We start from the raw sequence: 15,476 nt of genomic DNA on the forward strand, positions 1-15,476 counted from the left end.
GGAAGGGCGGGTTACTGACTCCGCAGCCCCCACACCGCAGAGCCCCTCCCCTCTCCCAAGCCCCGGCCAAGGCTCACGTCAAAGAAGGCCTTCTCGTCCACAGTCTTAGGGGCACCCATAGTGGGCGTGCCAGGTGCCACAGCCTCCACCTCCGCCAAGTCGATGACACCCTTGCACTCTGTGTCCACACGGTGGTCGTAGTAGCGCAGCTGGAGGAGGCCACAGAGTCAGCGGAGCCCCCTCCCCCGTGAGTCCCCCCCACCACCTGATCACTCACCTGGTGCTTGGTCTTGTCCAGCACGAACCAGCGGGCCTTCCAAGGCTTCATGAAGGCCCCCTTCTTGTACAGAGTGCCCTCGTAGGACCTGCATTTCCAGCAGAACCAGGGCCAGGCTGACCGTCATGGCCCAGCCAAGCCCAGGCCCCAGCAGTCGTCCCCCCCTTGCTGTCCCAGCCCAGGAGGTAAGACCAGGCACCCTGTCCCCAGAACTGACCTAAGCCCAGAGCACTGGCCAGGGGGCCACAAAGAAGCCTTTGATGGGGGGCTGCAGGCCCAAGAAGACGACGCCCAGAAAGGAGACAGTGAAGGGCGCCTCACACCCTCCAGACTCCAGGGAGCATCCCCACACCAGAGCCTCAGGGTCTTGGGAAAGCAGCCCCCTACACAGGGCAGGCGCCCTTACGAGGAGAGGGATGGCCAGGCAGGTAGATCTGTAGAAGCAGCCACGGCAGCAGCTGCCTGGGATGGATCCTGCCAGACTCCAGACTCACGGGGGCCCCACCACTGCCCTCTCTCTACTCCTCCCTCAGCCACTGCAGGCTGTGGTCAGCTGTGGTCACCAGTTCGACACCCCAAACCCCTCCCAGTGGTGGTGTATACTTAAGCAAGCTCCTCAAAAGCACCCGCAATCTCCCACCAGAGGACTGCCTGGGACCCCAGAACACCAGCTCAGAGGTGTCCATGTGGCAGTGGGAGGTGCCCTCATACCTGTTCTCACTCTCTGCTGTCTGGAACTGGCTGTACAGGGTGCTGGTGCTGCGGCGGGCAGCCTGACGGGAGCCGGATGTGGTTGAGCCACTACTCTGGTCGCTGTCCAGGCTGAGGCTCAGGGTGGAGCCCACGGGCCCCTCCTGCAGGTACACACCCAGCGAGCGACGGTGGTGGGGTGCGGTGGACACAAGGAGGGAGCTAGGGGTGCCCTGGGAACAGGAGGTTGGGACTTGGGTCAGGGCTGGACAGACTCCACTTTCTCCCAGCAACACGCCCACCGTGGACGCTCACACTGGCCCTCACTCACACGGCCGTCTGGCCGGCCCTCGAGGCGCTGTGCAGCCTTCACCCGGTCCCAGGTGTCCTTCCAGCGCTCAGCGGGTTGGCCCAACTCTGTCTCCAGCCTCTGCAGCTCCTGGGGGAAGAATTAATGGCAAGTTTATTCAAAAGGAAATATCCAGACTAGAGCACGAAAAGACAAAAGGAAAACACAGGAAAGAGACACAACGGAAAGGCCTAACGCGTGTGTGACTGGCCACAGGGGGAGGTGGCAAGAGGGAGGGAAGGAATATGCAAAATGAATATTCGGAGACAACAGTTGAAAAATTTCCCAAACTAACCAGAGGCATCAAACAACATAATCAAGAAGCACTACAGACCCCAACAGGGTAAGTTAAAAACACACACCCCGGCCAGGCGTGGTGGCTCACGCCTGTAATCCCAGCACTTTGGGAGGCCGATCACCTGAGGTCAGGAGTTTGAGACCAGCCTGACAAACATGGAGAAACCGCATCTCTACTAAAAATACAAAAAGTTAGCCCAGCATGGTGGCGCACGCCTGTAGGAGAATCGCTTGAACCTGGGAGGCGGAGGTTGCGGTGAGCCGAGAACGCGCCACTGCACACCAGCATGGGCAACAAGAGCAAAACTGCTTCTCAAAAAAAAAAAAGACCACACAATACTGATCTTCAACACTGCAGGGTCCACAATGTCCAGCTTACAATAAAAGAACAGCAGAAAAATGGAGAAAAACATTAAAATAGACCCTGAAATGAAACAGGAGTTAGAACATACAGTAAATTCAAGAGAGTGATTTTAGGGCCAGGCGCGGTGGCTCACGCCTGTAATCCCAGCACTTTGGGTGGCCGAGGCGGGTGGATCACGAGGTCAGGAGTTCAAGACCAGCCTGGCCAAGATGGTGAAACCCCAACTCTACTAAAAATACAAAAATTAGCCGGACGCAGTGGCAGGCACCAGTAATCCCAACTACTCAGGAAGCTGAGGCAGGAGAATCACTTAAACTCAGGGGGCGGAAGTTGCAGTGAGCCGAGATCACACCACTGCCCTCCAGCCTGGGCGGCAAAGTGAGATTCTGTCTCAAAACACACAAACACACACACACACACACACACACACACACACCCCAAAATGGGACAGAAAAACTGCTGAAAAACAAAGAGAAAAGTCCCAAAACCTGCCAGAAGAAAAAAAGACATGCTCTCTTTGAAAGAGCAACAATAAAACTGACGGCTGACTTCAAAAGAGAAACACGAGGCCAACTGTCAACTTCCAGCCATGACAGATAATTAGTCTGAACAGCCCTCCCTCCATATGCAAATGATGAAACTGGACAAGAAGGGGAAGCCGTTGTTTCCAGATGTCAGACAAGCAGTGCAGCTTGAGAGACAGGAGCCTAAGACATGGGACCACATAAGATGGGCCCCACAGTCACCTGTTTTCTGCCCAGCCACAGTGCAGGGAGGCAGGGCCAGAGCAACACACGGGAGCTTGCTGAGCCGAGGAGGCAGAGACGGGACGTCCAGGGGCGCTAGTGCAGCTGGGTCTGCAGGGCAGCCCACAGAGGGGAGGGAGCACCACAGCAAAGGGGCTCTAGAAATCTAGACAGAGCCCTCCTTGAGTCGTTGGCCAAATTAGGCTGCCATGTGCAAAGCAAGATGTCACAAGGCCTGGCAGAGAACAGCTACTAAGAAGCTATGACCTGACGCCGGCAGCAGTGGCTCACACCTGTAATCCCAGCACTTTGGGAGGCCAATGCGGGTGGATAACCTGAGGTCAGGAGTTCAAGACCAGCCTGGTAAACATGGCAAAACCCTGTCTCTACTAAAAATACAAAAATTAGCTGGGCATGGTGGCGGGCACCTGTAATCCCAGCTACTCGGGAGGCTGAGGCAGGAGAATTGCTTGAACATGGGAAGTGGAGGCTGCAGTGAGCCGAGAGTGCGCCACTGCACTCCAGCCTGGGAGACAAAGTGAGACTCTGCCTCAAAAAAAAAAAAACAAAACTATGAGCTGAACCCAAATTCTAGAGGAATGCTAAAAGATACTGGACTTCCAAAAAGCCAGTGTGGCAAGACCTTACCGAAGACACAAAGACACAAAACTCCAACTGAAGCCCTGGAGAGGCCACACGCCTTGGGCTGCTCTATCCCTGGAGCTTCTCTAGAGGTGCTGGAGAGCTGCCCAAACAAAGCTTAGAAACAAGCTTCAAACAGACCAAGCTGACGCACAAGCTCATTACCTACCTGCGAGAATAAAACCCAAGACTCTAAGCTTAAAGAAAGACAACACAGGCAGGGCACAGTGGCTCCCGCCTGTAAGCCCAGCACTTCGGGAGGCCGAGGAGGGAGAATCGCTTGACCCAAGGAGTGTGAGAACAGCTTGGGCAACATGGCAAGACCCCATCTTTATATATATTTTTAAGTTATGTTTCAAGATTTAAAAGAAAAGATGGACATAATGGTTTATCAGATGGGGAATCTCTACAATAAAAAGCGTTAAATTCATTAGATGGGGCCGGGTGTGGTGGCTCATGCCTGTAATCCCAGCACTTTAGGAGGCCAAGGTGAGAGGACTGCTTGAGCCCAGGAGTTTGAGACCTGCCTGGGTGACATAGGGAGACCCCATCTCTACAAAAAAAAAAAAAAAAAAAAAAAAAAAGTAGCCGGCACGTGGCCCACGCCAGTAGTCTTGGCAACTCAAGAGGCTGAATGAAGCAGGATGATTGTTTGAGCCTGGGAGGTTCGGGCTGCAGTGAGCCATGACTGTGCCACTGCACTCCAGCCTGGGCAACAGAGCAAGACCCTGTCTCAAGAAATTAAAAAAAAATTCATTTGATGGGCTTCAGTATATTAAAAACAAGAAAGAAAAGAGTAGTGAACTTGAAGACAAGCCAACAGAAATCATCCAAAATGAATTGCAAAGATAAAGACTGAGAAAAAACAAACAGAGCTTCAGCAACGTATGGGACAATAAAGTTCCAGAAGGAAAGGGAGAGATCATGCAGAAAAAGTAATTTATAGAAGCAATGGCTTGAAATGTATTAAATTTGACAAAAATGATCATCCCACAGACCCAGAAGTTTAAAGAGCCCCAAGCAGGACGAAAGCAAAAACCACAATGGTCAAATTGCTGAAGCCAAAATTAAATGCAAAATCTTAAGGCAGAGAATCAAAGGGTGCCATTATACACAGTTTATAAGGATAAGAATCAACACCAACTTCTAAGCAGAAACAATACAGGCCAGAAAACAAAGTAATATCTTTTTTTTTTTTTTTTTTGAGGCAGAGTCTCACTCATGTCGCCCAGGCTGCAGTGCAGTGGCGCGATCTCAGCTCAGTGCAGCCTCCACCTCCCGGGTTGAAGCGATTCTCCTGCCTCAGCCTCCTGAGTAGCTGGGATTACAGGCACCCGCCACCATGCTCAGCTCATTTTTATATTTTAGTAGAGACGGGGTTTCACCATATTTGCCAGGCTGGTCTCGAACTCCTGACCTCAGGTTATCCACCTGCCTCAGCCTCCCAAAGTGCTGGGATGACAGGCGTGAGCCGCTGCGCCCAGCCTAGTAATGAGATCTTTTAAAGTGACATCAGTTTAACTGCTGAATTAAAAAAAAAAAAAAAAAAAAGAAGCAGCTGTCAACCTAGAAATGCATATCCAGAGAAAATGCCCTTTGCAAAATAAAGGCACCAAGATGTTTTCAGATAAACAAAAGCTGAGGGGATTTGTGACTGGCAGCTCTGCATTACAAGAAATATTAAAAATTCTTCAGGCTGAAGAGAAATAATAACCAGACCAGATTATACTGAAAGAATGAAGAATGTTATAAATGGCAAAAATAGAAGACTTTTTCCTTCTTTCTTAATTTCCTTAAAACAAAGTTGACTATTTAAAACAAAAACAGGGCCGGGCACGGTGGCTCACGCCTGTAATCCCAGCACTTTGCAAGGCCAAGGCGGGCGGATCACCTGAGGTCAGGAGTTTGAGACTAGCCTGGCCAACACAGTGAAACCCCGTCTCTACTAAAAATACAAAAAAAATTTAGCCGGGCATGATGGTGGGTGCCTCTAATCCCAGCTACTTGGGAGGCTGAGACAGGAGAATCACCTGAACTCAGAGGCAGAGGTTGCAGTGAACCGAGATCGCACCACCGCTCTCCAGCCTGGGTGACTGAGGGAGACTCCATCTCTCAAAAAAAAAAAAAAAAAAAAAAAAAAAACCATACTGGGTGTTTATGTCATACGTAAAAATAAAATGTGTGACAGTAACAGGACAGGAAAGGCATGAATGGACACACACTGCCGTAAGGCTCTTCTGGTGTCAACAGGGTGATGTAATTTCAAGTCAGATGATTATAGCCCCCAGCAACCCCTGAAACACAACACAGAGATGTACAGCTCAACTCACAGTAGACAGAATACTAAAAACACTTGTTTTTTAAAAAAAGAAAAGAAAGAAAGGAAAAAAAATCAAAGGGACAAAGAGAAAACAAAGAGCAAGATGACAGACTTAAACCCAGCCACATCAATAGTAACAGTAAATTAAAATGGGCTAAAAATTCCAATTAAAAAAACCCATTAGACTGGATAACAAGAAGACCCAACTACATCTACATTCTGTGTACAAGAAACTCACCTTAAACATAAACACACAGACCAGTAAAAAATACAAGAAAACAACAGAGCAAGCTGACACTGGTCATGACAAAGCTGAGTGACTCTGTTAGCACCAATGAGACCGCGTCAACTTTAAGACAATGAGCATCGCTAGAGAGAAAAAGGGACTGCTGTCTGTGCTTTGTGGGTCACCTCCATCACAAACCATGACTCCCGTACTCCCCCAAACCCTGTGCCCCATGCTAAGTCACTGAAATAAATGACTCATTTAAGCCTCACAACTTCCCTGTAAGGCAGGAATCAGCATTTCCACTTTCTGCACAAGGAACCAGAAGCTCTAAGATGCTTAGATAACTAGGCCAGGCACGGTGGCTCACGCCTGTAATCCCAGCACTTTGGGAGGCCGAGGCAGGTGGATCACGAGGTCAGGAGATCGAGACCATCCTGGCTAACACGGTAAAACCCCGTCTCCACTAAAAATACAAAAAATTAGCTGGGCGTGGTGGTGGGCACCTGTAGTCCCAGCTACTCGAGAGGCTGAGGCAGGAGAATGGTGTGAACCCGGGAGACGGAGCTTGCAGTGAGCGGAGATCGCGCCACTACACTCCAGCCTGGGCGACAGAGCGAGACTCCATCTCAAAATAAAAAAAAAAAGATAACCTCTAAGGCCACACAGCCAACAGTGGGGAGCTGAGTGCAGGTCCCCCCGTGGCCTAGGTCCAAGGTCCACACTCCTCTGCCTGCTCAGTCCCACAGAGACTCCGGGATGGCCCCAAAAGGTAGCACCACGCGCAGGACACTGCCTCAGGCCTTACACACCAACCCAGCCACCACCCAATCGCAGTCTCCTTTCTCCCTCCCAGGCATCTCTGCCTTGTTCAGTCCAGGCCCACCAGGGATGGCACAGTGAGGGGTAAGAGAGGCCTCAATGTCAACCCCAAGCTCTCAGGGCAAGAACCCAGAGCTGCTCACGTTAGGTGGGGCAGGCGGTCTGGCAGAGGGAGTAAAACACTGTCGTCTCTAAGGGCTGACTCCTCAACAGGTGCCTGAGCTGCTCAAAGCCAGGTCAGGGAAAACACACGTGCTCAGAGTGGAGGCTGTGTACTGAGACCTGAGGGTCTCTGATGACGGCCCTCCTGTCACTGTCTGGAAGCACCCACTGAGTGGTGCGGGGCCCTGGGGAGCCACAGCCACCCCAGGCCAGTAGGCAGTTCACATGGTGGGGAGACGGCAGGGCCACACCAACCCCCAGGGGTAACCGGACTTACGTGCATGTACGAGTGTACACACACACGCACGACCCTGGTGTCTGAGCGAGAGGAGGGGGGTGCCAGGCCAGACCCTGCTCTGGGATCACACGCACCTCCAGCAGGCGTGAGATGGCGTCAGGCTGGGCCCGCGGGCAGCTGTCGTAACAGGGCCACACCACGCGGCGCCTGCTCTGGGGAGCGCCTCCATCAGACCGTTCTTCCTCTGGGGGTTCAGGGGGCCCCTGGGCCAGTTCCCAGTCATAGGGAGGGCCCTCGGCCAGCGTCTCCTCAGTGTAGAAGTCCCACACCTTCAGGTTGGACACGTTGCTGTAGGGCCGCAGGACCTGAGGGTGGGCCTGTGGTTGAGGACCTGGGTCGGGCAGGAGCCGCCTACCCGACCCAGGCCCCAGCTTACCTCTGCGTCCTCGGGCGCATACATGTAATTGTGGAACACAGGCGTCCTCTTGCTCAGCCGGTCCACATACTCCCACACAGACCTGCACGGCACCTGGCCCCTGCGTTCCCCCTTCTCCTCATACAGCAGCCCTGCACAGAAGCAGCACTGAGCCTGGGCCCCTCCTGACCCGTGGCTGCCCCAGCCCCGACTCCCCACATACCCAGCTCAATGCGCTCATAGTCAGAGTCGAGCAGGAAGGTCCGGAAACGGCGGGACACATGGTGGTAGCCGAGGAACTTGAGGTAGAACTGGCTGAACTCAAACTCCATGGGGAACTGCAGGTGGACCTGCACGCCATGTGGGTCAGGGGCCAGGGCTCAGCGGTCAGGGTGCACAGTCCCGGCCCACCCACACAGCGGCCTGCCCACCTGGTGTACGCAGTCCAGGAACTGCAGGAAGACGGGTGTGAAGCCGCTGCTCTGCCCGGCCAGGGTGTGAGCTCCACGGTGGCTGAAGCGATGGCCGAAGGACAGCCACTCCTTCTCCACCAGCAGGCGAAAGCCCTCCAGCGTGCGGTAGAAGGGGTCTGAGAGCAGCTGCACCAAGGATACCACCTGCCAGCACCGCCAGGAGGTCAGCGAGGAGCCCGGGAGCCTGGCCCACCCCAGCCCCACGCGCCACACACCTGGGTGGTGATGTCCCAGCCATCCTCCAGGCCCACCAGCACGGAGGAGCCTGAATCCAGGAGCTCCACCACCAGCACAGACACCTGCAGCAGCTTGTGGATCTGCAGGGACAGGCGGCCTCAGCACCTCGGGGACCCACCGCCCTCCCGCCTGGCCACTCACCAGGCCAGAGACCCGCATGTCCACAGGCAGCGGGGAGGCAGGCCCTGTCCACAGCCCCCCAAGCCCTGTATGCGGGCAGAGCACTGGACAAACACAGCTCGCTCTGGGTGTGCCGACCACCGCCTCCAGCCTGCTGGTCACAGCCCACCCCCTTCCAAGCCCTCTAGGACTGAGGGACGTCCCTGTCCCTCAAGATGCCGGTGGCCCTACCTTCAAGCCCTCCAGTGTTTACCAAGCCAGCATCCTGTCAGTACCCACCCCCGAGAGAATGCAGCAGGGGCCCAGAACCATAAACTGCATCCCCCGTGTGGTCATCAGCCCACGTGGGCCCAGCAGGCTGCTCCGACATACCCATGCCCAAGCCCTGGCCACTCTCACTGTCAGCTGGCCCCAGCCAGGCCCAGCCTCCCAGCTGCCTTCTAGGCACCAGAGCCTGGGTGGGAAGTGGCTGTCACCTCCTCCTTCCAGCGCTCCACACTGTCAGACAAGCAAACCTAGACCCGTCCACTTGGCTCTACCCAAGGGGAGGGCCCAGCACCAAGGCGGGCAGAGGGACGGGGCAGTGCAGAGACCTGGATCAGCCACTCTGAGTCCTCCAGTGAGCGCAGGAAGGAGGCTGGGCTGGGCTCAGCAGCGGGGCAGCCTGGGACACATGCTTTCAGCAGCTTCTTGAAGCTAGCCTTCACCTGCCGTGCCTCGAATACCTCAATGGGCACCAGCTCCCACTGCTGCAGGGGGTCTGACCGCACACCCTGAAAAGAATCCGGACAAGTCCCGTGAGACACATGAGGCCCCAAGCCCCCTGCCGAGCCCCCACCCTCACCCCCCACCCCCCGCACCCCAGTCACCTTGAGCTGGGCTTTGTCCCCAAGGATATAGAGGGCTGCTCGCTGCGGACGCAGGAAGCCCGGGTCGGGAGGGCCCCCGTTGGCCTGGGGTGGGGCCAGCGCGTCTCTGCCAGCTAGCCGGGAGCCCACATCGGTGCCAAGGCCACTGCTGCGTCCACTGGTCCGGACACTGCCCCACTTACCTGTGAAGGAGATGCCAGGTAAGCACCCAAAGGGGGCCAGGGCACCACTTACCTGGGGCTGGCTGGGCCCGGCCTCCAGGGAGGGGGCTGAGCTCCCAGGGCAGGGGTGGTTGGCAGGACCCCAGCAGGGCCGTGCGAGAGGAGGGCTGGAACACACAGATTCTGAGACGTGGGGTGGCAGCCAGTGTTAGTTTCTAGGGCAGGACTCACGGGTCAGGGAGGTAAGGACTGGGGCTCGGGAGACGGGTCGTTAGTGTCAGGTGTGGAGGGAGACATTAGTGCCCGCAATAACTCAGTGCACACTAGAGGCCGCCAGCACCAAGTAAGGGGAGGCGGGCCTGCGCAGGCTCGGTACGGTACCTCGGGGTGCGGTCCGTCTGGAGGCCGAGGCCGCCATGGGGTTGGACAGCGTGGTGACCCTGGCTCTGGGGCTGGGAACTGAGGGCACAGCAGAGAGAAGGCTCAGGCCTAGCCCCAGGCCTGGGCGTGCCCAGCTTGGGGGTGCCTACAGGTCAGAGGGTTCCACCAAGCCCCCAGGGAGCCTGGAGACAGCAGGGGTCAGCCCCAAGTCCCTGATCGCAGGAAAGTGGGAAGAGCCATCCTGGTGTGGGCCTCTCTGCCAGGGCAGGGCAGGCCGCAGAGCACTCCGTGGCAGCAGAAGGGCTATGCGGTGGGGATCCCGGGCTCTCCTCTAACACTTCCTTTCTTCCCACTCAAACCAGCTTAGAGCAAGTCTGTCTCTGAGTCCCTCCCTCCACATCCTGGCCCTTTGTCCTCCACTCAGGGGGCCAGGGCTTGTGATGGGCACAGCTCAGAACGCTCCACACATGAGCATGTAGACGCCTCTGTCCAGGGCACAGCAACAGGAGGTGCCCAAGAGGTGTGGCCTGGAGAAGAGGCGACCTGGAGGCTTCCCGAAGAGGGGAGAGGGTGGGCTCAGAGCCTGAGCCCAGTCCAAAAGGACGGAGAGCAGCTCAGTCCAGGACACAGGCAGATCTGAGTCCCAGGCTGAGGTTTACGGTCCAGACGACGTGGCCTGAAGGCACAGGGAGGACTGGCAGCCCAAAGGGCTGGGAGATGCCTGGGGTCCACAGAGGGTCTCTGGGCGCCTGGCCCTGCCCAGGCTCACCTGCTTCTGCAAGGCCCGAGGGTGGGACTGAGAGAGGCAATGTCCCCTCGTCCACCAAGTGGTCACTACAGGCCAAGCACAATGCCAGCCCAACACGCCCTGTGTCCTCTGACGGCTGCCACACTGCAGGCGCCCAGCTCACAGTGAGGACGCAGCACCAGCCTGCTTTGGACGCCAACCAGGGCCCAGTGTATCCTTGTAAAAAGGTCAGAGCTGGCCAGGCGCAGTGGCTCACGCCTGTAATCCCAGCACTTTGGGAGGCCGAGGCGGGCGGATCACCAGGTCAGGAGATCGAGATCATCCTGGCTAACACGGTAAAACCCTGTCTCTACTAAAAATACAATACAAAAAAATCAGCCGGGCGCGGTGGCGGGCACCTGTAGTCCCAGCTACTCGGGAGGCTGAGGCAGGAGAATGGCGTGAACCTGGGAGGTGGAGCTTGCAGTGAGCCGAGATCGCACCACCGCACTCCAGCGTGGGTGACAGAGAAAGACTCCGACTCAAAAAAAAAAAAAAAAAAAGGTCAGGGCTGGGACTAGAAGCCACGACTACAGCTGAGTGAAGCTTGAGCCCCTGAGCATTGCTGGGCACTGAGGGGGACACGGGGAGGCAGCAGCCACTGGCACTGGGGATGGTCGGAGACGCAAAAGGGACTCTGTGGGAAGCACAGGCATGGGGGGTGCAGGGGCGGCCCCACCTGCAAATGCCACTCAGGGTTTCTGGCAGGGGTGGGAAGGCAGCAAGACAGGGCGATTGTAAAATGTAAGTATATAATGTGGTATCTGGAAAAACAAAACCACTTCTGAACTAGAGAACAGGTGGTCCGGACACAGGAGTGAGTGTGGGGCCTATCTGCCACCCCGTCCTGGGGCCAGTCTAGCTCAGTGTGTGCAGGGCGCCTGTGAAGTGTGCGTGGCGGTGGGGACAGAGACAGCAAGGCCAGCTCGGGCAAGGCCCAAGGAACCAGGACACACGAGGACAGAGGCCAAGCTGCAGGCAGAGCCAGGCCAGAGGCTCCAAAGACAGTCTGGATTGGGGGATGCAGGGAGGGTGGAGTGTGGGGGATGAGGAAAAACAGTGACACTGGGAGGGAACAGGACAGAGGAGCATCTGGGATGTTTCCAGGCTGTGGGAAATGGTAAGACAGAGCCGCGTAGAGGCAGCACCCGGAGGACCCTACAGGAAGCTGCAGCAGACGCAGAGGTGGAGAGCGGGCAGGACGTCAGGGCGGGCAGGAGGTCAGGGCACACACCTGGTCTGGGCACACACTTGGTCTGGACAGGCTTCCCGCCCCTGCCCCACGGCACCCGGAGGGCATGCTCCTCATCCCACACCCAAACATCCATGACCAGCGCCGTTTCTGCTCCTCCCTGGCCTGCCTGCCAAACCATAAATGCCACCACGGCCCCCCAAAGTGCCCCTGCCCCACCGTCTGCCCACAAGCACCCTCACCGTGACTGCCCATGTGGGCTGAGGAGAAGCCGCTAAGCGTGTTGCGTCCCGACGCGTCGGCGTAGCGGGGCATGGAGCTGACCACAGCCTGCAGGTACTTCTCCTGCTCCAGGCTACTCGAGTCCGCCTGGGACTGGCCTGGGGGAGGACACGGAGCTGAGGGAGGGGAGGGTGAGATAGGGCAGGGCAGGCACAGGGCAGGACGCAGGAGGTACCTGGAGAAGGTGCGTTCTGGGCCTTGAAGAGGCCGACGACACCTTTGCCATGCAGGCCTCCAGAGCGCAGCAGCACCGCCTTGGACCGCCCGCTGCGCCAGCAGACCACGGGGAAGCGGTTCTGGCGGTAGCAGCGGGACACGCGCTGCAGGGCGTTGTCCTGGACACTCTGGGGCACGATCAGCAGCCCTGGGTAGCTGAGAGGAGGCAGAGGCGTGAAGGTGGCTGGCGACCCCACCCGCCTCCAGGCTCACGCCCCAAGCAGGGCAAGAGGAGCCAGCCCATGGCTCCCAGCAGGAGGCGCTTCCAGCTCAGCCACGGGGCCCCCCAGCCACCCCCCAGCCCTGTGGCCCGTCCCTCTGCCCGGAGTCTCCCCCTCCACATTCCTTACATGACCAGAAGCCGTGGCCCAGGCCCACAGCGGGCAGGGAAGACACCCAGTCACGTGTCCACCACCCGGGCCAGCCCTGGCCGGCCCTCACCTGCGGCAGATGGCATACATGCGGTTGACCGGAGAAATGCGGAAGGGCTCAGACTTGGCCCGGCTCAGGCTGCTGCTCAGGGTGCCCAGACCGAGGCGCTGGTAGTCGCGACAGCAAGCCCTTTCCACCAGGCTGCTCATGGTCATGCGGTCGGAGGGCTTCAGGGCTGAGGACGGGGTCAGCGTGCTGGGCTCCAGCTCCTCCGACACTGCACAGGCCGGGCACACGTGGTCATCACGGGGCCACTCCGCCTGCCCTGATCCTCCCTGGCCAATGTCAGCATCCAGAGACCACCCAGGACTCCACCCCCACCCCTCCACCTGAGATCTCGTCCTCCTGGTCCTCAGGGGGCGGCTGGCCCCGGTGCTCCCAGCTGGGGGGGTTGTACTTCTTGCGAGTGACATGCTGCCGCCCGATGGTCTTCTTGGCGTTCTTGACCAGGTTCCGGGACAGGGTTCTGAGGCCCACGAGAGTCAGCAAAGGTGAGAGGAGGAGGGACAAAGATGAGCACAGGGGCCTAGGAGGGTTGGAGCGGGAACACGGCTGAGGCCCAGCTGCCCTGCCTGGGACCCAGATCCATACCTGAGGGAAGGACCCTTGTCCTTGGTGACTCGCGGTGGCCGGCCAGGTGTGTGGGCAGAGCCCAAGGTGAACGCAAAGGTGGCCCTGATGTCCGGCGGGTACCGCAGCTTATGCAGCTGCTTACGGAAGAGCTCGGCGCTGTCAGACCCCACCTCCTCGTCAAAGGCCATTTTCAGCAGCTGTGTCAGTAAAAGCAGCCCTTAGGGGTGTGGGTGGCCCCCCAGCCCCTCCCCCAACTCTGACACTGCCAGGCTCCCCTTCCCCTCGCAGCCATGACAGAGAGAGAAGCAGGCCCCAGGCAAAGGCCTGTATCTGTGTCACACGAAGGCAAGCGCTTGTGTAAACTCGAAATCTCAGTGGCTGTGAGCTGAGGCCTGGGTTTGCAAGGCACACCCAAGACACGGACTTGAGGGCCGGCGCCCCAAGGAAAGGACAAGGACCCAAAGACCGCACATCAAACAGTGGACATCAACTCAAGAGCCACAGTGAGGGCCCCAGACATGCAAGCGTAACAACAGGGCCACTGCTGGAGACTGGCCTAAAAATGGTTCATACAAGAAAGACCGGTTTGCAGGAGAAAGACCAGGGCGGGGGATGAGAGCCCCACCCGCGCACCGCGCCCCACCTGGAATGTGCAGGAGCGCAGCTGGAGCCCGTCCTGCAGGAGCTGGTCCACAGGGGTCTGGACGCTGATGCGCTTCTCCTTGGTCAGCGCAGCCACCGGGAAGGAGCGGACCACCACCTGCTCCCCAACTTAGGACAGGCCAGGCAGAGTCAGAAGCAAGGAAGGTAAGGGGGGGGGGGTCCCAGAATCTCAGGGTACCACAGTTATGGGGAATCCCAAGTGGGTGGGGAAGGAGCAGACAAAGGCCCGTTTCCCACGGGCACCCAGAACCCCCGAGAAAAGGGAGAGGGAGGCAGGGAAAGCCCATCCATCCCAAAGACCTGGGGGAGAGGGGGCGACAGGGCCAGAGAGTCTGCAGGCTCACCCAGGGGGTCCGTGGGCATCCCCGTGAAGATGACCCGGTACGTGGTGAGGAAGACGGCGCCCTCAGCTGGGAGCAATGCTGGTCCCCCAGCACTGCCCCCCGCGCCCTCCTCACGCCCATCCGGCAGCAGGTAGACGCGCAGGCCGTCCAGCACACACTCCTCACCCGGCAGCAGGCGCGGCCGCAGCAGCTTGGGCTGCTCGAAAACAAGAGCAGGAGCTCAGGATGCAGCCCGGGCCTTGGGCCCCCGCAGCCCCAACGGCCCCCGCAAACCTTCTGGATGGGCGGCAGCCTCCGGCTCTCCCGCTGCACGGCCTCCAGGGTCTCGATGTGCATCTGGACAATGTCTGGGGGAAGACAGTTCTCACACTTTGTGCCCAGCCCCACCCATCCAAGGGGGAATCACCAGCCCAAACCCCCGTACCTGGCACCATGACATGCAGCCCCTTGAGGTGGTCGCTGGTGACCCCACTCTCCGTGCAGACCTTGTCCACAAAGCGGTTGATGAAGCGGACCACAGCCCCAGCTACGTCGCAGGTCTCTGCATCCTCGAAGCCGCTCTCCGTGTCATAGCTCTCGGCCACACTGCCAGCCATGCTGGGCCAGAGAAGAAACTGTGGGCATGGGCCCTGCCCACCACGGCCCCGCCTCCACTGGGCCCAACCCCCAGTCCCTGCCTCACCTGTTGGTGACCAGGCTGTTGCTGGCGCTCTCCAGGTCGCCCAGCCCGGCACGCTCCCGAAGTAGGCGGCTCTTGCTGCTGTCCAGGGGCAGGAGGAGGTAGCTCATGCGGTTGGCATAGTGGATGGCCTGGCTGAACACCGTGCTCTCCTCCTTCTGCACCAGCTCCTGCTGCTTCTCACGACTCAGAGTTGGCCACAAGCGCCGCTGCTCAGAAGCCACGTCTAGGGCAGAGCGCTCGTCCTCCTGGGAAGGTGCCTCCCCAACCTCCTGCCACGGCACCACACGCATGAGCCGGGGCCACGCTGCCCCAGCCCCTAGCCCCCAGCCCCCAGCCCAGGGAGTCCCTGCGCACCTGGGCGGGGGCCAGGTCCTCCGTGGGCTCCAGGTAGAGGGCCCGGATGTGAGTCTGCACATCCCCATAGAACATGGCCTCCCAGAACTGTGGCGTGCTCCACACCACGTGCTCCTGCACACAGCTGTATGCAAACTGCGTCACCCCCGGGCTCAGCTTCTG

General features: G+C 58.3%; 1 protein-coding gene across 4 annotated transcripts in view; it reads right to left on the reverse strand.

The window, feature by feature from the left end:
- Positions 1–15,476, reverse strand: part of SBF1 (SET binding factor 1) — a 30,036-nt gene that overhangs the window by 2,245 nt on the left and 12,315 nt on the right. For 2 of the 4 annotated variants that reach the window (NM_002972.4, NM_001410794.1), the window contains exons 18-40: positions 15,315–15,473; positions 14,961–15,229; positions 14,703–14,875; positions 14,552–14,625; positions 14,279–14,474; positions 13,915–14,042; positions 13,290–13,468; positions 13,028–13,164; positions 12,708–12,915; positions 12,226–12,422; positions 12,011–12,148; positions 9,790–9,867; positions 9,248–9,429; positions 8,972–9,151; positions 8,237–8,338; positions 7,980–8,165; positions 7,772–7,898; positions 7,570–7,700; positions 7,268–7,498; positions 1,299–1,406; positions 989–1,200; positions 278–365; positions 78–209 (exon numbers count right to left, since the gene is read on the reverse strand). In NM_002972.4, the coding sequence (NP_002963.2) occupies positions 78–209; positions 278–365; positions 989–1,200; positions 1,299–1,406; positions 7,268–7,498; positions 7,570–7,700; positions 7,772–7,898; positions 7,980–8,165; positions 8,237–8,338; positions 8,972–9,151; positions 9,248–9,429; positions 9,790–9,867; positions 12,011–12,148; positions 12,226–12,422; positions 12,708–12,915; positions 13,028–13,164; positions 13,290–13,468; positions 13,915–14,042; positions 14,279–14,474; positions 14,552–14,625; positions 14,703–14,875; positions 14,961–15,229; positions 15,315–15,473 (3,615 nt within the window). The remainder of the gene's footprint in view (positions 1–77; positions 210–277; positions 366–988; positions 1,201–1,298; positions 1,407–7,267; positions 7,499–7,569; positions 7,701–7,771; positions 7,899–7,979; positions 8,166–8,236; positions 8,339–8,971; positions 9,152–9,247; positions 9,430–9,789; positions 9,868–12,010; positions 12,149–12,225; positions 12,423–12,707; positions 12,916–13,027; positions 13,165–13,289; positions 13,469–13,914; positions 14,043–14,278; positions 14,475–14,551; positions 14,626–14,702; positions 14,876–14,960; positions 15,230–15,314; positions 15,474–15,476) is intronic. The other 2 variants (NM_001410795.1, NM_001365819.1) reach the window with 1 other exon arrangement.

Source organism: Homo sapiens, chromosome 22, assembly GCF_000001405.40.
Source record: "Homo sapiens chromosome 22, GRCh38.p14 Primary Assembly".
Classification (NCBI taxonomy): domain Eukaryota; kingdom Metazoa; phylum Chordata; class Mammalia; order Primates; family Hominidae; genus Homo; species Homo sapiens.